Raw genomic sequence first — 25,339 nt, forward strand, 5'->3', positions numbered from 1 at the left:
CACTGTCACCATAAGAGCTGAGGCCCACAGAGGTCACTCACACACATACTCTCACCATAAGAGCTGACACCCGCAGACATCACTCACACACACACTCTCACCATAAGAGCTGAGGCCCACAGAGGTCACTCACACCCACACTCTCACCATAGAGCTGACACCCGCAGACGTCACTCACACCCACACTCTCACCATAAGAGCTGACACCCGCAGACGTCACTCACACCCACACTCTCACCATAAGAGCTGTCGCCCGCAGAGGTCACTCACACCCACAATCTCACCATAAGAGCCGACACCCGCAGACATCACTCACACACACACGCGTCACTCACACTCACACTCTAGCCATAAGAGCTGACGCCCGCAGACGTCACTCACACCCACACTCTCACCATAAGAGGTGACACCTGCAGACGTCACTCACACCCACACTCTCACCATAAGAGGTGACACATGCAGACGTCACACACACCCACACTCTCACCATAATTGGTGACACCTGCAGACGGAACTCACACCCACACATGTCACTCACACCCACACTCTCACCATAAGAGCTGACACATGCAGACGTCACTCACACCCACACTCTCACCATAAGAGCTGACACCTGCAGACGTCACTCACACCCACACGTCACTCACACCCACACTCTCACCATAAGAGCTGACGCCCGCAGATGTCACTCACACCCACACTCTCACCATAAGAGGTGAAACCTGCAGACGTCACTCACACCCACACTCTCACCATAAGAGGTGACGCCCATAGACGTCACTCACACCCACACACGTCACTCACACCCACACTCTCACCATAAGAGGTGACACCTGCAGACGTCACTCACACCCACACTCTCACCATAAGAGCTCTCGCCCACAGAGGTCACTCACACCCACACTCTCACCATAAGAGCCGACGCCCGCAGACGTCACTCACACCCACACTCTCACCATAATTGGTGACACCTGCAGACGTCACTCACACCCACACTCTCACCATAAGAGGTGACACCTGCAGACGTCACACCCACACTCTCACCATAAGAGGTGACGCCCGCAGACATCACTCACACCCACACTCTCACCATAGAGCTGACGCCCGCAGACGTTACTCACACCCACACTCTCACCATAAGAGGTGACACCTGCAGACGTCACTCACACCCACACTCTCACCATAATAGCTGTCGTCCGGAGGCGTCACTCACACCCACACTCTCACCATAAGCGCTGTCGTCCGGAGGCGTCACTCACACCCACACTCTCACCATAAGCGCTGACACCTGCTGACGTCACTCACACCCACACTGTCACCATAAGAGCTGACACCCGCAGACGTCACTCACATCCACACTCTCACCATAAGAGGTGACACCTGCAGACGTCACTCACACCCACACTCTCACCATAAGAGCTGAGGCCCACAGAGGACACTCACACCCACACTCTGACCATAAGAGGTGACACATGCAGATGTCACTCACACCCACACTGTCACCATAAGAGCTGATGCCTGCAGACGTCACTCACACCCACACTCTCACCATAAGAGGTGACACCTGCAGACGTCACTCACACCCACACTGTCACCATAAGAGCTGAGGCCCACAGAGGACACTCACACCCATACTCTCACCATAAGAGGTGACACCTGCAGATATCACTCACACCCATACTCTCACCATAAGAGCTGACACCTGCAGACGTCACTCACACCCACACTCTCAACCATAAGAGGTGACACATGCAGATGTCACTCACACCCACGCTGTCACCATAAGAGCTGATGCCTGCAGACGTCACTCACACCCACACTCTCACCATAAGAGTTGACACCTGCAGATGTCACTCACACCCACACTCTCACCATAAGAGCTGAGGCCCACAGAGGACACTCACACCCATACTCTCACCATAAAAGCTGATGCCTGCAGACGTCACTCACGTACACACTTCTCACCATAAGAGGTGACACATGCAAACGTCACTCACACCCACACTCTCACCATAAGAAGTGACACCTGCAAACGTCACTCACACCCACACTCTCACCATAAGAAGTGAAACCTGCAGACATCACTCACACCCACAGTCTCACCATAAGAGGTGACACCTGCAGACGTCACTCACACCCACACTCTCACCATAAGAGCTGACACCTGCAGACGTCACTCACACCCACACTCTCACCATAAGTGACACCTGCAAATGTCACTCACACCCACACTATCACCATAAGAAGTGACACCTGCAGACATCACTCACACCCACAGTCTCACCATAAGAGGTGACACCTGCAGACGTCACTCACACCCACACTCTCACCATAAGAAGTGACACCTGCAAATGTCACTCACACCCACACTCTCACCATAAGAAGTGACAACTGCAGACATCACTCACACCCACAGTCTCACCATAAGAGGTGACACGTGCAGACGTCACTCACACCCACATTCTCACCATAAGAGCTGTCGCCCGCAGAGGTCACTCACACCCACAATCTCACCATAAGAGCCGACGCCCGCAGACATCACTCACACCCACACACGTCACTCGCACTCACACTCTAGCCATAAGAGCTGACGCCCGCAGACGTCACTCACACCCACACTCTCACCATAAGAGGTGACACCTGCAGACGTCACTCACACCCACACTCTCACCATAAGAGCTGACACATGCAGACGTCACTCACACCCACACTCTCACAATAATTGGTGACACCTGCAGACGTCACTCACACCCACACATGTCACTCACACCCACACTCTCACCATAAGAGCTGACGCCCGCAGATGTCACTCACACCCACACTCTCACCATAAGAGGTGAAACCTGCCGACGTCACTCACACCCACACTCACCATAAGAGTTGACACCTGCAGACGTCATTCACACCCACACTCTCACCATAATTGGTGACACATGCAGACGTCACTCACACCCACACGTCACTCACACCCACACTCTCACCATAAGAGCTGACGCCCGCAGACGTCACTCACACCCACACTCTCACCAAAAGAGCTGACGCCCGCAGACGTCACTCACACCCACAGTCTCACCATAAGAGGTGACACCTGCAGACGTCACTCACATCCACACTCTCACCATAAGAAGTGACACCTGCAGACGTCACTCACCCACACTCTCACCATAAGAGCTGTCGCCCGCACAGGTCACTCACACCCACACTCTCACCATAAGATCCGACGCCCGCAGACGTCACTCACACCCACACTCGTCACTCACACTCACACTCTCACCATAAGAGCTGATGCCCGCAGACGTCACTCACACCCACACTCTCACCATAAGAGCTGTCACCCACAGACATCACTCACACCCACACTGTCACCATAAGAGCTGACACCCGCAGACGTCACTCACACCCACACTCTCACCATAAGAGCTGAGGCCCACAGAGGTCACTTACAGCCATACTCTCACCATAAGAGGTGACACCTGCAGACGTCACTCACACCGACACTCTCACCATAAGAGGTGACACTTGCAGACGTCACTAACACCCACATTCTCACCATAAGAGCTGACACCTGCAGACGTCACTCAAACTCACACTCTCACCATAAGAGCTGTCACGCACAGACATCATTCACACCCACACTGTCACCCTAAGAGGTGACACCTGCAGACGTCCCTCACACCCACACTCTCACCATAAGAGGTAACACCTGCAGACGTCCCTCACACCCACACTCTCACCATAAGAGGTGACACCCACAGACGTCACTCAAACCCACACTCTCACCATAAGAGGTGACACCTGCAGACGTCACTCGCACCCACACTCTCACCATAAGAGGTGACACCTGCAGACGTCATTCACACCCACACTCTCACCATAATTGGTGACACCTGCAGACGTCACTCACACCCACACTCTCACCATAAGAGGAGACACCTGCAGACGTCATTCACACCCACACTCTCACCATAATTGGTGACACCTGCAGACGTCACTCACACCCACACTCTCACCATAAGAGCTGACGCCCGCAGACGTCACTCACAACCACACTCTCACCATAAGAGGTGACACCTGCAAACGTCACTCACACCCACACTCTCACCATAAGAGGTGACGCCCATAGACGTCACTCACACCCACACACGTCACTCACACTCACACTCTCACCATAAGAGTGTGACACCTGCAGACGTCACTCACACCCACACTCTCACCATAATGAGTCTCGCCCGCAGAGGTCACTCACACCCACACTCTCACCATAAGAGCTGACGCCCGCAGACGTCACTCACACCCACACTCTCACCATAATTGGTGACACCTGCAGACGTCACTCACACCCACACTCTCACCATAAGAGGTGACACCTGCAGACGTCACACCCACACTCTCACCATAAGAGGTGATGCCCGCAGACATCACTCACACCCACACTCTCACCATAGAGCTGACGCCCGCAGACGTTACTCACACCCACACTCTCACCATAAGAGGTGACACCTGCAGACGTCACTCACACCCACACTCTCACCATAATAGCTGTCGTCCGGAGGCGTCACTCACACCCACACTCTCACCATAAGCGCTGACACCTGCTGACGTCACTCACACCCACACTGTCACCATAAGAGCTGACACCCGCAGACGTCACTCACATCCACACTCTCACCATAAGAGGTGACACCTGCAGACGTCACTCACACCCACACTCTCACCATAAGAGCTGAGGCCCACAGAGGACACTCACACCCACACTCTGACCATAAGAGGTGACACATGCAGATGTCACTCACACCCACACTGTCACCATAAGAGCTGATGCCTGCAGACGTCACTCACACCCACACTCTCACCATAAGAGGTGACACCTGCAGACGTCACTCACACCCACACTCTCACCATAAGAGCTGAGGCCCACAGAGGACACTCACACCCATACTCTCACCATAAAAGCTGATGCCTGCAGACGTCACTCACGTACACAGTTCTCACCATAAGAGGTGACACATGCAAACGTCACTCACACCCACATTCTCACCATAAGAAGTGACACCTGCAAACGTCACTCACACCCACACTCTCACCATAAGAAGTGACACCTGCAGACATCACTCACACCCACAGTCTCACCATAAGAGGTGACACCTGCAGACGTCACTCACACCCACACTCTCACCATAAGAGCTGACACCTGCAGACGTCACTCACACCCACACTCTCACCATAAGAAGTGACACCTGCAAATGTCACTCACACCCACACTCTCACCATAAGAACTGACACCTGCAGACATCACTCACACCCACAGTCTCACCATAAGAGGTGACACCTGCAGACGTCACTCACACCCACACTCTCACCATAAGAGCTGTCGCCCGCAGACGTGACTCACACCCACACTCTCCCCATAAGAGCTGTCGCCCGCAGAAGTCACTCACACCCACACTCTCACTATAAGAGGTGACATATGCAGACGTCACTCACACCCACACTGTCACCATAAGAGGTGACACCTGCAGACGTCACTCACACCCACACTCGCACCATAAGAGGTGACACCTGCAGATGTCACTCACACCCATACTCTCACCATAAGAGCTGACACCTGCATACGTCACTCACACCCACACTCTCAACCATAAGAGGTGACACATGCAGATGTCACTCACACCCACGCTGTCACCATAAGAGCTGATGCCTGCAGACGTCACTCACACCCACACTCTCACCATAAGAGTTGACACCTGCAGATGTCACTTACACCCACACTCTCACGATAAGAGCTGAGGCCCACAGAGGACACTCACACCCATACTCTCACCATAAAAGCTGATGCCTGCAGACGTCACTCACGTACACACTTCTCACCATAAGAGGTGACACATGCAAACGTCACTCACGCCCACACTCTCACCATAAGAAGTGACACCTGCAAACGTCACTCACACCCACACTCTCACCATAAGAAGTGACACCTGCAGACATCACTCACACCCACAGTCTCACCATAAGAGGTGACACCTGCAGACGTCACTCACACCCACACTCTCACCATAAGAGCTGACACCTGCAGACGTCACTCACACCCACACTCTCACCATAAGAAGTGACACCTGCAAATGTCACTCACACCCACACTCTCACCATAAGAAGTGACACCTGCAGACATCACTCACACCCACAGTCTCACCATAAGAGGTGACACCTGCAGACGTCACTCACACCCACACTCTCACCATAAGAGCTGTCGCCCGCAGACGTGACTCACACCCACACTCTCCCCATAAGAGCTGTCGCCCGCAGAAGTCACTCACACCCACACTCTCACTATAAGAGGTGACATATGCAGACGTCACTCACACCCACACTGTCACCATAAGAGGTGACACCTGCAGACGTCACTCACACCCACACTCGCACCATAAGAGGTGACACCTGGAGACGTCACTCACACCCACACTCTCACCATAAGACCTGACACTCGCAGACGTCACTCACACCCACACTCTCACCATAAGAGCTGATGCCGGCACACGTCACTCACACCCACACTCTCACTATAAGAGGTGACACCTACAGACATCACTCACACCCACATTCTCACCATAGGAGCTGACACCCACAGACATCACTCACACCCACACTGTCACCATAAGAGCTGAGGCCCACAGAGGTCACTCACACCCATACTCTCACCATAAGAGCTGACACCCGCAGACGTCACTCACACACACACTCTCACCGTAAGAGCTGACACCCGCAGACGTCACTCACATCCACACTCTCACCATAATAGGTGACACCTGCAGACGTCACTCACACCCACATTCTCACCATAAGAGCTGTCGCCCGCAGAGGTCACTCACACCCACAATCTCACCATAAGAGCCGACGCCCGCAGACATCACTCACACCCACACACGTCACTCACACTCACACTCTAGCCATAAGAGCTGACGCCCGCAGACGTCACTCACACCCACACTCTCACCATAAGAGGTGAAACCTGCAGACGTCACTCACACCCACACTCACCATAAGAGGTGACACATGCAGACGTCACACACACCCACACTCTCACCATAATTGGTGACACCTGCAGACGTCACTCACACCCACACATGTCACTCACACCCACACTCTCACCATAAGAGCTGACACATGCAGACGTCACTCACACCCACACTCTCACCATAAGAGCTGACACCCGAAGTCAGTCACACCCACACACGTCAATCACACTCACACTCTCACCATAAGAGCTGACGCCCGCAGATGTCACTCACACCCACACTCTCACCATAAGAGGTGAAACCTGCAGACGTCACTCACACCCACACTCACCATGAGGTGACACCTGCAGACGTCATTCACACCCACACTCTCACCATAATTGGTGACACCTGCAGACGTCACTCACACCCACACGTCACTCACACCCACAGTCTCACCATAAGAGCTGACGCCCGCAGACGTCACTCACACCCACACTCTCACCATAAGAGGTAACACCTGCAGACGTCATTCACACCCACACTCTCACCATAATTGGTGACACCTGCAGACGTCATTCACACCCACACTCTCACCATAAGAGCCGACGCCCATAGACGTCACTCACACCCACACACGTCACTCACACCCACACTCTCACCATAAGAGGTAACACATGCAGACGTCACTCACACCCACACTCTCACCATAAGAGCTGTCGCCCGCAGAGGTCACTCACACCCACACTCTCACCATAAGAGGTAACACCTTCAGACGTCATTCACACCCACACTCTCACCATAATTGGTGACACGTGCAGACGTCACTCACACCCACACTCTCACCATAAGAGGTGACATCTGCAGACGTCACTCACACCCACACTCTCACCATAAGAGGTGACACCCGCAGACATCACTCACACCCACACTCTCACCATAAGAGGTAACACATGCAGACGTCACTCACACCCACACTCTCACCATAAGAGCTGTCGCCCGCAGAGGTCACTCACACCCACACTCTCACCATAGAGCTGACGCCCGCAGACGTCACTCACACCGACACTCTCACCATAAGAGCTGACACCTGCAGACGTCACTCACACCCACACTCTCACCGTAAGAGGTGACACCAGCAGACGTCACTCACACCCACACTCTCACCATAAGAGTGTGCCCCGCAGGCGTCACTCACACCCACACTCACCATATGAGCTGACACCTGCAGACGTCACTCACACCCACATTCTCACCATAAGAGCTGTCGCCCGCAGACGTCACTCACACCCACACTCTCACCATAAGAGGTGACACCTGCAGACGTCACTCACACCCACACTCTCACCATAAGAGCTGACACCCGCAGACGTTACTCACATCCACACTCTCACCAGAAGGGGTGTCACCTGCAGACGTCACTCACACCCACACTCTCACCATAAGAGCTGTCGCCCGCAGAGGTCACTCACACCCACACTCTCACCATAAGAGCCGACGCCCACAGACGTCACTCACACCCACACACGTCACTCACACTCACACTCTCACCATAAGAGCTGACGCCCGCAGACGTCACTCACACCCACACTCTCACCATAGAGCTGACACCCGCAGACGTCACTCACACCCACACTCTCACCATAAGAGCTGACACCTGCAGACGTCACTCACACCCACACTCTCACCATAAGAGCTGACATCTGCAGACGTCACTCACACCCACACTCTCACCATAAGAGCTGACACCTGCAGACGTCACTCACACCCACACTCTCACCATAAGAGCTGACACCTGCAGACGTCACTCAAACCCACACTCTCACCATAAGAGCTGACACCTGCAGACGTCACTCACACCCACACTCTCACCATAAGAGCTGACACCTGCAGACGTCGCTCACACCCACACTCTCACCATAAGAGCTGACATCTACAGACATCACTCACACAGTCAACTCAGTCAGTCCTTATGATAACCCTTAGTGGCATAAACTGTCATGGTCCCCATTCCATATTCAGAAACTAGAGCCCAGAGAGGTTGGGTGCCTTGCTGGAGCCCATAGAGGAATGGGCAGCGGCAGGAAAGTCTGACTGACACTTAGCACCCATGAGGGAGGTACGGAAACAGGATCAACCATTCCAGACCACCGGGAGCTCAGGAAACCTCATCATCGTGCTCACTTGAGCCAAGATCCAGGAAATATTAAGTCCTTAGGGGCTTCAAAAGCGAAGGAGAACGGCAGGGTGGACAAGTGCTGGGTTCTTTTCAGCCAGCACATGCCGATGACCAGCTCTGCGTTGCAGTGAGCTGAGATTGCGCCATTGCACTCCAGCCTGGGCAACAAGAGTGAAACTTCATCTCAAAAAGAAAGAATGTAACCATCAAAATTAAAACTTCTGTGCATCAAAGGACACTATTAGCAGCAGGAAAAGGCAGCCAGGGAGTGGGGAAATATTTGCCCTCATCTATCTGATAAGGGATTTGTATCCAAAATACATAAAGAACCACAACTCGACAACAACAACAAAAAACCTGATTAAAAACGGGTAAAGGACCTGAGTAGACTTTTCTCCAGAGAAGATGTACAAACAGCTGAAAGCACAGGGAAGGCGCCCAGCATCACCAGCGTCAAGGCAACGCAAATCAAAACCACAGTGAGACCTACTGCCCGCTCAGCAGGACATCTGCTATCAAAAAACGAAACGAAGCAAAACCGAAAATAACGCGTGTGGGTGAGAACATGGAGAAAATAGGGCCCTGTGCTCCGCGGGCAGGAACGTAACCTGATGCAGTCGCCGTGGAAAGCACACGGGAAAAGTTCAATGTGGAAGTAGCAGATGATCCGACAGCCCCATTTGATTTTACACCCAATACCTGCAAGCAGGGCTCGCGCAGAGGCTCAGGCAGCCATGCTGGTGGCACATGGGCTGTCGCGACTGCTCCCGGTGGAATCAGCCCCATTTCTGATTTTACACCCAACACCTGCAAGCAGAGCTCGCGCAGAGGCTCAGGCAGCCATGCTCGTGGCACGTGGGCTGTCGCGGCTGCTCCCGGTGGAATCAGCCCCCTTTCTGATTTTACACCCAACACCTGCAAGCAGGGCTCGCGCAGAGGCTCAGGCAGCCATGCTCGTGGCACGTGGGCTGTCGCGGCTGCTCCCAGTGGAATCACAGCTACAATCGAGCTCAGGTAAAGGCTTCCATGGAGGGTCTAGACTGCATTTCCAGGCACCAGGATGAGTTTAAATTCAGCTCCCAAAGAAGACCAGTGAACACACCAATGAACATACACTTCACACTGCCACACCCCAAGATAAGACCCAGAAACTCACATTCAGGGAAAGACAGCCCCTCTTACATGCCACCCAGACCCCCATACGAGAGTGTCAGACCCCAGCACCTTCCAAAAACACAAAATGTCCCCCTGCCGAGGAGCCAGCACCTGGGCCCTTAGAAGCCGTGACAACGAGCAGCAAAGCGCAGGGCCTCACCCAAGAGATACCCAGGACAGCACAGACGGGGGAAGCTCCAGCAACCCCACACAGGCCCCAAGAAGCCACCAGCCAGACCAGGCTCGGGAAGAGCTGTCTTCAGCAGGAACAAGGCAGTTTAGTAACTAGAAGCAATATGGGATGGGGCTGAGCCATCATCAGGAGCTCCGTCCAGTGGGGAGCATTGGCCCCAGTCGCAGGCAAGGGAGGCTGTTTCAAGTTTAGGCCTCCAGAAGAGGCAGCTCCTCGACCAAACTGAAGACACATAATTTCCTGTTAAATTAACACTTGCAACGCCTTGCACCCAGGTCTTGAATGCTAATTATACTCGCCGGCATTTAATACAAGACACCCTGGAGTCTGGGCTGAAATGCCACACAGGAATCTGGAATCGCATAAAACGTGGAAAACCAGACTTTTCTAGCCCAAGAATGAGTGAGATGTAAAAATCAAAGAGGTCCCACACGTAACCCACCAAGAAAGAACAAGTGAGGCTGTGTTGCTGGAGGTGGTCGCTCTCCCCAAGCTCAGTCCTGACAGAAATGACGCTCTGACGGTGCACGATTTGCAATGTGCAGGAACAGACCCCAGCACCTTTCATCGGTGGGTTTAGGAGAGGGGCCCAGGGGACCCTGGCACTCCTCTGATGAGAAATCAGGCACCAGCTTGTGCATCTGTTTCCCTGGAAATCACTGCTTCCCTGTTGGTTTGCACATGTCCTGTCAGCCCTGTGAGGTGAGAACCCAGAAGCTGATGGACGATACCCAAAACAGAGCTTTAGGCAGAAGACAGCTTGGACCCAAGGCCTCAGTTAGGCCATGGAGGGAAAGTATGGTGCGGACACCTGGGACCGCAGTGGGCGGGAGAAATTCTGGAGGATAAAATGTTGGGCCCCAGTGCTCCATCTCTGAGGGTGGACCCTGCTGCCTGGGAGCAGTCCTGGCAGGACCCCCACAGTCCACGTGACTGATGGTCTAGGCCTATGTCTGCTCAACTATGATGGCATAAACACCCCTCCCAGCAGAGCCTTGAAACTAAAGAAGTCATCTGAGTGACTAGACGTTAACAAGGAGAGAAAACCTAACTGCCTGTCTCCTGGCCAACGGGAAGACAGGTTTTTTGTCTTACTTTGGGTTTTGTCTTAATTTGGGTTTTTTGTGGGCTACTCTGGTAACCAGAGCTTTGTCTGGAGACAGCGTGTTCTTATAGGAGGCCACAGAGGGTTTTATGAAGAGTAAGCTTCGGAGGCTCAGGAGGACTTGTATTTTTGAGCAGGGTGGAGCAAGAGAAAGAACAAAGACAAAGGCCACCGGTTTTGGAAGCCCCAGGTAGAAGGAGACAGGGTCTTCCACCCCCGTGGAAAAACCTCCTGAAGCTACAAGCTGGGGCCAAAGCTGGTGTGGCAGCAGTGGTCACCCAGAGCTTTCCAATGCCGTCCACTCATCCCAGGTGGGGAAACTGAGGCTGAGGAAGCAAAATGACTTGGTCACACACATTTTATAATTTACAATTGTATATATATATGGGTGTCCATTTTCACACAGCTATAAAGAACTACCCAAGACTAAGTAATTTTTGAAGAAAAGAGATTTAATTGACTCACAGTTCCACAGGGCTGGGGAGGCCTCAAGAAACTAGTCATGGCAAAAGGCGAAGGAGAAGCAAGCACCTTCTTCCTGAGGCGGCAGAAGGAGTGGGGGTGGGGGGAGTGCTACACTTTTAAACCATCAGCTCTCATGAGAACTCCCTCACTATCACGAGAACAGCGTGGTGGAAACCACCCGCATGATCCAGTCACCTCCCACCAGGTCCCTCCCCAACGCTGGGGATTACAACTCAAGGTGAGATGTGGGTGGGGACACAGAGCCAAACCATATCAATGGGTACAAGGCAATGCTATGATTTATGAATACAATGTGGAATAATTAAATCAAGCTAGTTAACATATCCATCACTTCAAATACTTAACATTTTTGTGGCAAAAACATTTGGAATTTGTTCTCTCAGCAGTTTTGAGATGTATAACCGTCTACTGTTATCTTCATCACACTGTACAATCGAACTCAAAAAATTGCCCCTGAGATTTGTGCCCTCCACCTGTTATCTCCCCATTCCCTCCACCCCTGGCCTCTGGCGACCTCAGTTCTACTCTCTGCTACTGTGAGTTCAATTGTTTTCAGTTCCACATATGAGTAAGATCATGCGGTATTTGTCTTTCTGTGCCTGGCTTATTTCACTCAGCGTAATGCTTTCCAATTCCATCCATGATGCTGGAAATCACAGAATTCCTTCCTTTTTAAGACTGAATAGTATCCCACTGTGTCTTTATCCATCCATCTGTCGATGGACATTTAGGTTGATTCTATGTCATGGCCATTGTGGACAGTGCTGCAGTAAACATGAGGGTGCAGATCTCTCTTCAACATGCTGATTTTACTTCCTTTGGATAAATACCTCATAGTGGGATTGCTAGATGATATGGTAGTTTGTTGTTTGAGAGGCCTCCATACAGTTCTCCATAATGACTGTACCGATTTAGATTCCCAATAGTGCACAAGATTTCCCTTTTCACCACTTCCTCACCAACACTTGCTGTCTTTTTAATAATAGCCATTCTAACAGGTGTGATATGATATCCCATTGTGGTTTTGATTTGCATTTCCCTAATGATTAGCACAGTTGAGCATCTTTTCACATACATGTTGGCCATTTTTATGTCTTCTTTTGAGAAATATCTACTCAGATTCTTTACCTGTCTTTTAATTGGGTTTTTCATTTTCATGCTATTGAGTTGTTTGAGCTTATTATATATTTTGGATATTAAGCCCTTATTGGATGTACAGCTTGCAAATATTTTCTCCCCATCCTTAGGTTGTCTGTGCACTCTGCTAACTGTTTTGTTTGCTGTGTAGAGCTTTGTATTTGATATAATCCCATTTGTTTATTTTTGATTTTGTTGCCTGTGCTTTGGGGATCAAATAAAAAAAATTGTTGCCCAGGATAATGTTATGTCATTTTGCCCTGTGATTTCTTCTAGTAGTTTTACAGTTTCAGGTCTTAAATTTAAGTCTTTAATCCCTTTTGAGTTTTTGTATGTGGTGAGAGATAAGTTCTAATTTCATTCTTCTGCATGTGGATATCCAGTTTTTCTGGCACCATTTATTGAAGACACTGTCCTTTTCCCATTATGTGTTCTTGCCACTTTTGCTGAAAATGAATTGAGCATAAATGCATGGATTCATTTCCTGGCTCTCTATTCTGTTCCATTAGTTGATGTGTCTATTTTGTTTTGTTGTTGCCAGTACCACGTTGTTTTGGTTATTATAGTTTCATAGTATATTTTGAAATCAGGTGGTGTGATGCATCCAGCTTTGTTCCTTTGGCTCCTGATTGCCTTGGCTATTCAGGGTTTTATGTGGTTCCATATGAATTTTAGGATTGCTTTTCTATTTCTGTAAAAAAAATGCCATTGGAATTTTGATAGGGGTTGCACTGAAACTATAGATTGCTCTAGGTAGTACGGACATTTTAACAATATTAATTCTTTCAATCAATGAACATGGGATACCTTCTATTTATTTGCCTTGTCTTCCATTTCTTTCACCATCTCATAGTTTTCAGTGTACAGGTCTCACCGTCTGGGTTAAATTAATTCCTATCTATTGCAGTCACACATTTTTTTAGTGGCAGCACTCACCTTCTTGAGTGAACCATGGAGGTTGTGGCATTTGCTTGTCAAGGGCCTTGCATTCCTGGGGGTGCCCCCTCTGCTGTTGTGGTATCCTAGGATGGCTGTCAATCCCTAAACTTGCTCCCTTGCGGCCCAGGAGCCACAAGAACATCTCATTCCCTGCCCAGTCACTGGTCAGGTGCAGGCCCTGACCCATTCCAAACCACGGCCCCCTCCTACATGCTTTTCTCTGGTGGAAGATTCTCTCTTTTCATGCAGATTGGTTGCTAAGCCCTGTGAACAGGAGTGAACAGGTGGACAAGCAGCCATCCCAACACCACACAAAGAGAGAGAAACTGGAGACAAAAGCAGCGGGGAGATGCTGCAGATCCCGGCCACTGTGCCAGAGCCACCCTGGGTTCGCCATTCACAGCCCCAGAGCCACCCTGGGTTCCCCATTCACAGCCCCAGAGCCACCCTGGGGTCCCCATTCACAGCCCCAGAGCCACCCTGGGGTCCCCATTCACAGCCCCAGAGCCACCCTGGGGTCCCCATTCACAGCCCCAGAGCCACCCTGGGGTCCCCATTCACAGCCCCAGAGCCACCCTGGGGTCCCCATTCACAGCCCCAGAGCCACCCTGGGGTCCCCATTCACAGCCCCAGAGCCACCCTGGGGTCCCCATTCACAGTCCAGTATGCCCCACGTGAGTCTGTGTTGGCTTCTGTCACTTGCAGTCCTGAGTGCTGAGCTGGGCCAGGCCCCCAACACCTGAGGTCCTTCCCTCCCTCACAGAGTTTTCATGCTCAGTTGTGAGGTATGGTGATGGCCACAGGCCCGAATCCTAACCACCACAGCACAGGACTTCTCAAAGAGACCGTCACTGTGTCTCCTGCCCCAACAAGGTGAACAGTTCTGGGATGCTAATCCCCACTCACTCATTCCATCCCCATCCTGGAGCCTCCTGGACAGATTCCATCATTACCCTCCCTCAGGAGGAGGCAGTGCTGAGGGTGGCCCACGTCACTGCACCCCTGGGTGGTCCCTGAGGGCACTGCTGAGGGTGGCCCACGTCACTGCACCCCTGGGTGGTCCCTGAGGGCAGTGCTGAGGGTGGCCCACGTCACTGCACCCCTGGGTGGTCCCTGAGGGCAGTGCTGAGGGTGGCCCACGTCACTGCACCCCTGGGTGGTCCCTGAGGGCAGTGCTGAGGGTGGCCCACGTCACTGCACCCCTGGGTGGTCCCTGAGGGCAGTGCTGAGGGTGGCCCACGTCACTGCACCCCTGGGTGGTCCCTGAGGGCAGTGCTGAGGGTGGCCCACGTCACTGCACCCCTGGGTGGCCCCTGAGGGCAGTGCTGAGGATGGCCCACGTCACTGTGCTCCCTGGGTGGTCCCTGAGGGCAGTGCTGAGGGTGGCCCACGTCACTGCACCCCTGGGTGGTCCCTGAGGGCAGTGCTGAGGGTGGCCCACATCACTGCACCCCTGGGTGGTCCCTGAGGGCACTGCTGAGGGTGGCCCACGTCACTGCACCCCTGGGTGGTCCCTGAGGGCAGTGCTGAGGGTGGCCCACGTCACTGCACCCCTGGGTGGTCCCTGAGGGCAGTGCTGAGGGTGGCCCACGTCACTGCACCCCTGGGTGGTCCCTGAGGGCAGTGCTGAGGGTGGCCCACGTCACTGCACCCCTGGGTGGTCCCTGAGGGCAGTGCTGAGGGTGGCCCACGTCACTGCACCCCTGGGTGGTCCCTGAGGGCAGTGCTGAGGGTGGCCCACGTCACTGCACCCCTGGGTGGTCCCTGAGGGCAGTGCTGAGGGTGGCCCACGTCACTGCACCCCTGGGTGGCCCCTGAGGGCAGTGCTGAGGATGGCCCACGTCACTGTGCTCCCTGGGTGGTCCCTGAGGGCAGTGCTGAGGGTGGCCCACGTCACTGCACCCCTGGGTGGTCCCTGAGGGCAGTGCTGAGGGTGGCCCACATCACTGCACCCCTGGGTGGCCCCTGAGGGCAGTGCTGAGGATGGCCCACGTCACTGTGCTCCCTGGGTGGTCCCTGAGGGCCCCCCGGGCCACATGAGGCCCACCCCCTTCCTGATGTCCAAGAACAAGGGCGTTACTAGCGCTCACGTGTTCCCCTTTGCAGACTAGGTCACAGGATACAGCACGGATTCCTTCCGGCAAAAGGTGCTCAGTAAAGTGGATTGCAGCATCCTGTGTCTCCCCTAAAACATCCTCAAACAGAATGGCTGCACCAAGATGTATGGGATCTGTACCAAGACATGGGTAAAAAGAAGGCCCTGGCATGTTCACCTGATTGTTACTCAAAAGCCCCACAGATGGAGGCTCCATTGAGCATTGACCCTGAGGCCCTAAGAGTTGCTGCCCGAGGAGAGATGCTCAACATCAGCCGGCACTTCCATCTCCGCTCCCTCTGGCAGGAACAAACTCCACTGAAACAGGCGGCTCTTTCCCAAGCAGGGGCAGGACTGGCTGGTTGCCGTGTTCCCAGGAAACATGTACAGGGTACCTGCTTCACCCAGGAAGTGCAGGGAGGTTGGAATGAAACCTCAGAAGGATGGAGAGGCTGCTCAGAAGATGCTGACTGCGGGCCTGCTTCTGGTGTCTGACTGCCGTCTGCACCCAGAATCTGCCTGTCAATTTTGTCTTCAATGATTTTGAAACTCCTGGGGGTGAGGGAGCTGGAGACAAATAGTGACTTAGAGTCCCATAACACATTTGTCCCCATCACCCCATTGGATCTCAGGGCTGCCTGTGAGCCAGGCTGTGCAGGAAGGAAGGTGCCAGAGCTGCTGCCTAAGGTGCCCTAGGGACAGGAGAGCCCCTGCCTCCTGCCGGCCACTGGATCCACGCCCAGTGGATCAGTCGCTCATCACCGGCCAGGCCAGTGCCTCGCCTCACCTCACCCAGCCTCACAGTTCAGATGAGGAAACAGACCCAGAAGGAGCAAGTAGCTGGATTCTAGGCTATCAACAAAATGCCAAAGGCAGAAAAAACCCTGATTTTCCAAAAGGGAAAAAAATGTTGGAATACAAATCAATTTGTCTGCTGTTTACCAAAGCTCATTCTCTCCCCCAGCGTTTCCAAATCCCACCCGGCACACCTGTGGCCCATTCAGGTGCCAGTTCCGTCAACTGCCTGGAAATCCCTGCAGAGAACAACGGCACACCTGAGCCTCTTCCAGAGCCCACAGTTATCCCATTACGAAATGAAAAGCTGCTTTGGGGAATGCTGTGTTGATGTGTCAGCATCAAACTGTTATGCGGGAGGCAGAAGGACCTCACCGACGGCATCTCTCGCCACCTCGAGGGCACGGGTGAGGTGCAGGAGGAACTCGTGCTACCACCTCCACCCACCCCCAGGGGTTCTGCCCCTTCAGAAGGAGGGTCCAGGAGGGGGACTCACCCGCTGGCACCATTGGCCACTGCACACTATTCCCCAGCTCCCTCCTACTGCACCCCATGAGCCACCCTCAGTTGGGCCCCATCCCTGAGTCCCTTTTGGGTTCCTAATTGTTGGGCACAGTCTAAGCCCAGGGCTCCCTGCAGGCCTGCAGCTGTCTGGGGCGACTCGTACACTGTACCTGCTTTCCTTCGTTGCTCACACAGCAGCCGACACAGTCACTCAAAACTCCCATTTGTGAAAGTAAGTGGCCTTTTAAAGAATGCTAAAACATTACGGGCACTTTAGCCCCGCGTTTCTTACTACACGAAACATGGTTACCTACGAGTGAAATGGCAGAAGGAATGACCTTATTAACGCCTCATCCTTCTCAAGGGCAAGAGAGTGCAACTCAACAACTCCATGTGAACACCTGCCCTGGCATGCAGGCAGCCGGGCCAGTCCACAGCCAGTCACGGCCCCACGGGAGGAGCCTTCTGAGTGACAGATATCATTTTCATTCAGGGGGGCTTGAACTCTGGCCATCAGAAGAGCTGGTTACTACAAAGGTAGCAGAACAGGAAGTACTGAGAAGAAAGTGCACCTTTCTGACCACCCACTCCCAGCCCAGCTCCCCTCCTGTCTGCTCGCCTCCTGTCCGCTCCCCTCCTGTCCGCTCCCCTCCTGTCCGCTCCCCTCCTGACCGCTCCCCTCCTGTCCGCTCCCCTCCTGACCGCTCCCCTCCTGTCCGCTCCCCTCCTGTCCGCTCCCCTCCTGACCGCTCCCCTCCTGTCCGCTCCCCTCCTGACCGCTCCCCTCCTGTCCGCTCCCCTCCTGTCCGCTCCCCTCCTGTCCGCTCCCCTCCTGACCGCTCCCCTCCTGTCCGCTCCCCTCCTGTCCGCTCCCCTCCTGACTGCTCCCCTCCTGACCGCTCCCCTCCTGTCCGCTCCCCTCCTGACTGCTCCCCTCCTGACTGCTCCCCTCCTGTCCGCTCCCCTCCTGTCCGCTCCCCTCCTGACTGCTCCCCTCCTGTCCACTCCCCTCCTGTCTGCTCCCCTCTTGACTGCTCCCCTCCCTGCCAGCTACCCTCCTGACCGCTCCCCTCCTGTCCGCTCCCCTCCTGACCACTCCCCTCCCTGGCCAGCTACTCTGGAGCAAACTTACACAAGCACACAGCAGGACCCAAGGATCAGCTTCGATAGGCATTTTCCAGAAGTGCATTAGAATGGCTGCTTCACCCTCCTGTGATGATGCCTGGACCCTGAGGTGGGTCAGGCCCCTCCCGTGCTGCAGCCGATTCGTGGCTGGATTAAACTTCTTATTGCCCCCTGAAGGTGAGGTCAGGCAGCAGAAGCATCGTGCAGCTAGGAATAGAAGGCTCTGGGCCCCACACATTTCAGAGAGGCGTAATTGGGGTAGGCTGGTATTGGTAATCCTGAGTACAATATTGATTGACAAAAACGAATCACACCTGAGCCTCAAAGCTCTTAGCCCTTCCCTGCAAAGAAAACTCTCTCTTAGAATTACCAAATATAGCTTTCAATCCCTTCAATCTAAATGTTTCAGGTGAGAGCAGAGATAGATTTTTCGAATGGAGACATTAACCTTTCTGAGCTGCAGCTGCCTGGCTCTCTCTGCCTGTTACTCTGTTTCTGGAACATGGCAGCTGCTTTCGCCGCACCAGGGCCTGCACCAGGCCACCCAGTTACATTCAGGCCACCCTGGGCCAATAGGCCAGACACTCGCTCCTATTCCGGGTCTCCTAACAGCAGGCCAACAGATCACACCCTGTTAGTATTTAGAATAATCAAGATTTTTATCAGAAGTTGAAGAGAACAGCAGCATGTATTTCACTCAGGACCCTTCATTTTACAAATAAGAAAACTGAGGTCCTCCACAGCCGTGCTGCCCACTGGGAGCACCCCCTGCCTCACACCACATCATCCAATACCACGATGCAGATGTGGTCCTCACTCTTGGCCCTGATGGGGCACTCTAGCATCCCACTGTTTTCCTTAATAGAAAACAACACAATAGAAGTTAAGGTCAGAGTCAAAAGATGACACATCACTCGGGGCTTTATAAAATCCAGGACTCATGTAAACAAGTCCTAAAACTATGAGTGGACATTCACTTGCTAAGCACAATGTTGAAGTTATGGCTGAAAGCTTACTTTACATTTGCCTAAGACCACACTTGTCATACACACCTAAAACCATCTGCTGTCTTCTGAGTTCTATTAAAGGACAATGAGAAAACAGCAATTGAAATGGGGTTTCTGGTTCCAAACGGCAGGACAGGAGCAAGCTGTCTCACCACCCCAGCAGAAACCTGAAAGCAAACATGCAGTGCTGAGATGCTGAGATGGTCACCAGCAACATCTGAGAACCCAGAGGTGAGGATGAGTCAGGTCCTGGGGCCACCAGGAACAGAAAAACCCCGAACAGACAGACAGCAGGAGAACCAGACCCCCACATCTGCAAGGCCCCTCCCCATAACCTGCCTGGCATCCAGTACACAAAAGATTTTCCCTTGACACAGTTTCTACACTTAGAAAGGTGAGATAACAACAGCTTGCCCTGCTCTTGGGTGCCCTGGCAGGAGACCTCTCCCTGCCTCAACCCATGGGGAGCATCCTGAGTGCCTGAAGGGAGAAACAGCCCTGAGGATGGCCAGAGACAAAGGTGGGGGTGGGGCTACTGTCCCCAGCCCTGGAAACTCTGCTCTGCAACTCGGCCAAAGGAGGCACTCAATCAGAGTGGCCACTCGCAGCCCCACGCTGCAGGACCTGTGCTCCCAGGTCCCCTCCCAGCCTTCCCACGTTATCAGGACATCCCCTTTGGGACATCTGCTTTGGGACAGGCAGCACTTTCATCAGTGACCAGAGCTGAGTTGAACCTGGGCTTAAGGCGCCATCTAGTGCCAAAAAGGAGGCTGCAACCTAGCAAGAAAACACTCCACAGGTAAATCACAAAGAATCTTTAAGCAAACATACCCCAGAAAAACCAAAACACCCAGACAGAGAAGAGATAAATAAATAACCGTTCAGTGCCAAGACACAGACACACATCAACAAACCAGAAAGCAGCAGACGGGACCATGGCCTCCCCAAACGGACAAAGCCAAGAACCAGTGACTGGCCCAACAAAGTGGCGATTTGTGAGCTCTCATCAAGAAATCAAAATGGCAGCCCTAAGGAAACTCGGTGATCCCCAAGATAACACCAGGAAATCAATTCAGAAAGTTAACAACAGATTGAAATAATTTTTAAAAATCAGACAGAAGTCTTGAAACAAAAATACATTTAGCGAAATGAGGAAATTCATGACAAGCTCCCAACAGCAGAGTGGCTTAAGCAGAGGAAAGAATCAGTGAGCTCAAATACACAATCAGAGGAGGAAAAAGAACAAAGAATGAAAGACAACCTACAAGATAGAGAAAATTACCTCAAAACACCAAATCCAAGAATTACTGGTGTTCAAGAGGGAGCTGAGTGAGAACAAGAGGTACCAAGCTTACTCAAAGAAACAGTAACAGAAAACTTTCTGAAACTTGAGAAAGGTATAGATAACCAGATTCGGGAAAGTCAGAGAACACCAGATTCAACCCAAATATGACCACCTCAGGCTTTTAATAATTAAACTGTCAAAGCTCAAGGGCAAAGAGAAGACCCCAAAGGAAGCAAATAACATCTAAAGGAGCTCCAATTTGTTTGTCAACAGACATCTCAATGGAAAACATACAGACCAGGAGAAAATGGGATGATACTTTCGGAGTCTTGAAAGGAAAAAAAAAAAAAATCTGTCACCCAAGAATACTGTATCCAGCAAAGCTACCCTTCAAATACAAAGAAGAGATAAATTCTTTCCCAGACGAACAAAAGCTGAGAGAATTCATCACCACCAAACCCACCTTACAATAAATGCTGAAGAGATCTCTTCATTCAGAAAGAACAAAAATACATCGAATGGGGCACTAAGAGGGCAGATTCTCATTCCACCTTGCCACCAGCCTGCTGTGCAAACTTGGGCAAATCACTTCACTTCTCTGTGCTTCCATTTCCTAAATTGAGACCAATGAATTCGGTATTTTCTAGGATCCTTTCCAATCAAATGTTCTGTGTTTGCATGATGATAGCTAGGGTGCTGCAGCATAAGTGTCTGTAATTTAGCTTTTGTGAGCTGTGAACATTGCCTGCCTCTCTCTCACTCTCCTGCCAGCTGCTCACACTGTGTCATCTGTCCGTTTGTGTCAACAGAGAACTGAGGAAATGCAACTGCAGTGCAGCCCTGCAATGGGCTGGCCACCAGCAACAACGGCAGGAGAGGCAGGAGCAGTCAGGCAGGCTGGGCCCCAGAAGCACGCAGTGGAGAAGCCCGCAGCAGTGCAGAGGGATGTCCTTATGAGCCAGGACAGAGTCCCCTCATTTGCTGGACTCTGCAGAACTACACTGGCTGCATCCAAAACCCAGTACTCACCACCAGATGGCAACAGGGAGAATCTGCGTGCACAGGAGCCAGCCTGAAGGAAGCATCCAGGGAACGCAGGGGAAGAGCGTGAGCGTGAACCCCAAGATGATGGGGTGAGACCTCGCTCACAGGCAGATGCGAATCCTCCACGTGGGGATGCGGGAAGGCTGTTCTTGCCAAAGGCTGATGATGACCCTGCTGCCTCTCTGCTTATCTGCCCTCGAAACAGAATGTGGTTCCAGGCGCCACCACCCAGCCTAGCAGCCGTCATGGGCCCACAGTGATTGAGCCCTCAATCAAAGCTTTTTTATTATTATGGAAAATTACAAGTTTTTTCACAATGAGTTTTCACACACATATAAATCAATGGAAAATGTCTTCTTGGCTGTCTTTATGGTATTTAAGTAAATGATTAAAGTTTTCACAGTTGGGATAAAGGACATCCAATGTAAAAGACTGCCATTTCTGAAAATAAAGACAATACAAGCTGGTCATCACTGTTGACAAAAATTTCCTCGGGAATCTAAAATAACCAACAAGTCACTCATTTCCCTTTGTCTAACCTACTACATGCATTTTTTATTTATAAAGCCCCACTCAACTTATCTTTTTCCCCTTTCATCCTGAATTCTGGGAGCTCAAAGGCAACCTTAAGGCTTAGTTGCAGGAACTCTGTTGACCTTGTGGGAACATTTGCTTCTTTTTCCTTCCCTATCACATTCCCACTTCAAATTCATCAACTCATAGAGTATCTTTTTGTTGCTTCCTTGGGTTTTTTTGGACAAGGAAAGTTGAACATAATCAAAAACAACAGTGGTGAAGTCCTCACCCAACACTGCCAGCAATCTGTGGAGCACAGGGCTTCCCACCCGGCAGATAAGAACCCCATGCACACCTCTTAAATAAACAGGCTGATGCTGAGCAGGCACCACCATCCAGGCACCATGCTGAGCGCTGTGCGTAAAGAAAATACAAAGATCAGCCAGACAGAGCCTGTGCTGCAAGGAGCCCACATTTTATTTGAGGGGCCAGATAGGTCACAATTCATAACATAACAAAGCAAAAGGTGAAAAGAGCTAAAAAAAAAAAAGTAGAAATAATTTCTGATAAATTTTCTCTTAGCTTTTCTATGGGGAAATCAGGAGAAATGGACTGACTGGGAGAAAGCTTCTGGGGACCAAGTAAAACCCATCACGATCATCATCGAAACTGTGGCTGGGAAGATCCTGGGCCCCAGCACAGGGTCAGGTGGGCTCTGTGCTGGCCGGGAGAGCGGCCTCCGTCTGGCTACCAGGCCTCTCTGGACTGCAGAGTTAGTTTTTCTGCAAGTAACAGAGTGGAACCCAATGGCAGGAACATCTCCAATTCCGAAATTCCATGGTCCTGTGCAAACAACCAGAAAATAGAAACCAAGATTTGAGGACGGAAGAGGAACCGGACGAATGATGTGAACACGGGGCTTGTTTGCAGGTAGAGTTTACTGGGGGAAAGCATCCACATTACATAAAAGAGAAAGGAGACAAAACGACGCCCGGCAGTGGGTGCCCGGCTTGCAGGCCTCTGCGGCAGGTCTGTGGGTTCCCTGGCCCAGCGGCACCACCCAAAGGCGAGGGCCAGGCTGTCGTTGACGCCCTGTGGCAGCACCTCAGTGATTTCAGGGGTGGTTTTGACTCTTTCTGTGGAGGTGACAGGAGGTGCCTCCATCACAGACACAAATGGTGGCTTCCTGGCTTGCTCGGTAGACGCCAGGCTATGCTCACCCCAAGGCCAGACCCCGGACAAGGCCAGGGGCTGGCCCAACACTGGCCTTCAGGGTGCTGGGCAACCTGCATTTGCTGCGCAGCCCAGGCCCACCCAAATCACTGAGGGCGTCACACAGGCACCGTCAGCTGCGGGTGCTAAGAAAAGCGGCAGGAGAGGAGGAAGGCAGCTTATCTGTGCAGCCGTCAGCCATCAGCAAGCCTGTAGCAGCCACTGCCAAGCAACCGGGACCCAGCTCTTATGTCCCGTAAGGTTCCAGGGACCATTCCGGGGAGAAAGAAGGGCCTGGTCCCAGGGCAGGAAGCTCACAAGGCAGGAGGCGCATTGCGTCCAGCAGGGGTGTCCCATTGGGACAGTGGCGGCTCTCAGAACCCAGCCGCCAGCCCTCAACTCTGGCTCACCGTCCCACCACCAACTAGAGGGCCCCGGCCAAGCCAAGGGCAAAGTAGGGGACACACTTACAATCAGGGGTGCATGGGGCTCCTCCCCTCCCCTTGTGTGTGCATGTCTCTGTTTCTCTCTTTCTGTCTCTGTCTCTCTCTTTTTCTCTCTCTGGCCCTCCCACAAGGCTTAAGGTGGCTCCTTAGAATGGAAGGCCCAACTTTGTGAGTTACTCGAATACATGAACTCAGCCCAGGACAGTGGGAACAGCAGCCCGGCTCACCCCTGCAGGCGGGGACTGGGTGCCCAGCAAGCCTCGGGAGGCTGCCCCAAACCAACCACAGGGAGACCTGAGACGCCCTACGCCCACCTTTCTTCCGGCCTGGTCTTAAACTGGTGGGAGGGGCGTGGGCTGAGGTAGCCATGGGGGGCCCTCTTTCCTGCCCTCAGCTTCACCTTTTTCAGGAGCATGGCCTGGAAGCTCAGCCATTCTCAGAAGGATGGGCTGGAGGAGGGCTGCAGGCGGCTCTGCCCTTCCTGGCCTCCAGAGACACACTGAAAGCCCAGTTATCACAATATTCGGCCGACGGAAATGGTTTCATGAAAATTTACCAGACTTGAAAGCAATGACTCAAAGAAATACGTGTATGTACCCCCACGCACACAGCATGTTATTCACAGAAGCCAGACACAGAAACAACCCAGGCGCCCAGCAGCTGAGGGGTGGAGAAACAGAACGTGGTCTATTTACACGACAGAATGGGACTCAGCCTCAGAAAGGAAGGAGACGCTGACACAGTCCACACCTGCACCAGCCCTGAGCACGCGGTGCTGCCTTTAGCGTTCGGCTGCAGCCGGGCACATGCTCCGATTGCACTGATACGTGGCCCCCAGATGGTCAGGTTCACAGAAGGTACACTGAGTGCAGCCAGGGCCTTGGGGAGGGGGAGTCAGCATTAATGCGCACAGAGGTTCTGTTTGGAATAGAAAGTTGGCAGGTGGATGGTGGTGATGGCTACACAGCAGTGTGAATATCCTTTATACCACTGAACTATATCCCTAAATGGTTAAAATGGTCATTCTTATGTATAAGTTACTGAAAGTCTTTAAGAAGTGATAAAAGGTTTACTGAATAAATGAGAAACTGGATGGGAGGGACGCCATCCCCACTCTAAGGAGT

The 25,339-nt window shown here is 52.5% G+C and overlaps 1 protein-coding gene across 13 annotated transcripts in view, besides 5 other annotated features; it reads right to left on the reverse strand.

Annotated features, from left to right (window-relative positions):
• The window catches only part of PTPRN2 (protein tyrosine phosphatase receptor type N2), a 1,048,768-nt gene that overhangs the window by 794,637 nt on the left and 228,792 nt on the right, over positions 1-25,339 (reverse strand). The window lies entirely within an intron of this gene.
• Positions 919-1,419: an enhancer, noted in NCBI's record as "H3K27ac hESC enhancer chr7:158127303-158127803 (GRCh37/hg19 assembly coordinates)". NCBI's record gives its function as "activates a minimal SCP1, AML or CMV promoter by ChIP-STARR-seq in naive H9 embryonic stem cells {active_cell/tissue: H9 hESC(naive)}" and the evidence as "EXISTENCE:reporter gene assay evidence [ECO:0000049][PMID:30033119]".
• Positions 7,693-8,192: an enhancer, noted in NCBI's record as "H3K27ac hESC enhancer chr7:158134077-158134576 (GRCh37/hg19 assembly coordinates)". NCBI's record gives its function as "activates a minimal SCP1, AML or CMV promoter by ChIP-STARR-seq in naive H9 embryonic stem cells {active_cell/tissue: H9 hESC(naive)}" and the evidence as "EXISTENCE:reporter gene assay evidence [ECO:0000049][PMID:30033119]".
• Positions 8,215-9,414: an enhancer, noted in NCBI's record as "BRD4-independent group 4 enhancer chr7:158134599-158135798 (GRCh37/hg19 assembly coordinates)". NCBI's record gives its function as "activates an origin of replication core promoter dependent on BRD2, P300/CBP, MED14 and CDK7 cofactors, and independent of BRD4, by STARR-seq in HCT116 cells {active_cell/tissue: HCT116}" and the evidence as "EXISTENCE:reporter gene assay evidence [ECO:0000049][PMID:35650434]".
• Positions 16,581-17,175: an enhancer, noted in NCBI's record as "H3K4me1 hESC enhancer chr7:158142965-158143559 (GRCh37/hg19 assembly coordinates)". NCBI's record gives its function as "activates a minimal SCP1, AML or CMV promoter by ChIP-STARR-seq in naive H9 embryonic stem cells {active_cell/tissue: H9 hESC(naive)}" and the evidence as "EXISTENCE:reporter gene assay evidence [ECO:0000049][PMID:30033119]".
• Positions 18,365-18,957: an enhancer, noted in NCBI's record as "H3K27ac-H3K4me1 hESC enhancer chr7:158144749-158145341 (GRCh37/hg19 assembly coordinates)". NCBI's record gives its function as "activates a minimal SCP1, AML or CMV promoter by ChIP-STARR-seq in naive H9 embryonic stem cells {active_cell/tissue: H9 hESC(naive)}" and the evidence as "EXISTENCE:reporter gene assay evidence [ECO:0000049][PMID:30033119]".

This window comes from Homo sapiens, chromosome 7, assembly GCF_000001405.40.
Source record: "Homo sapiens chromosome 7, GRCh38.p14 Primary Assembly".
Taxonomy (NCBI): Eukaryota; Metazoa; Chordata; class Mammalia; order Primates; family Hominidae; genus Homo; species Homo sapiens.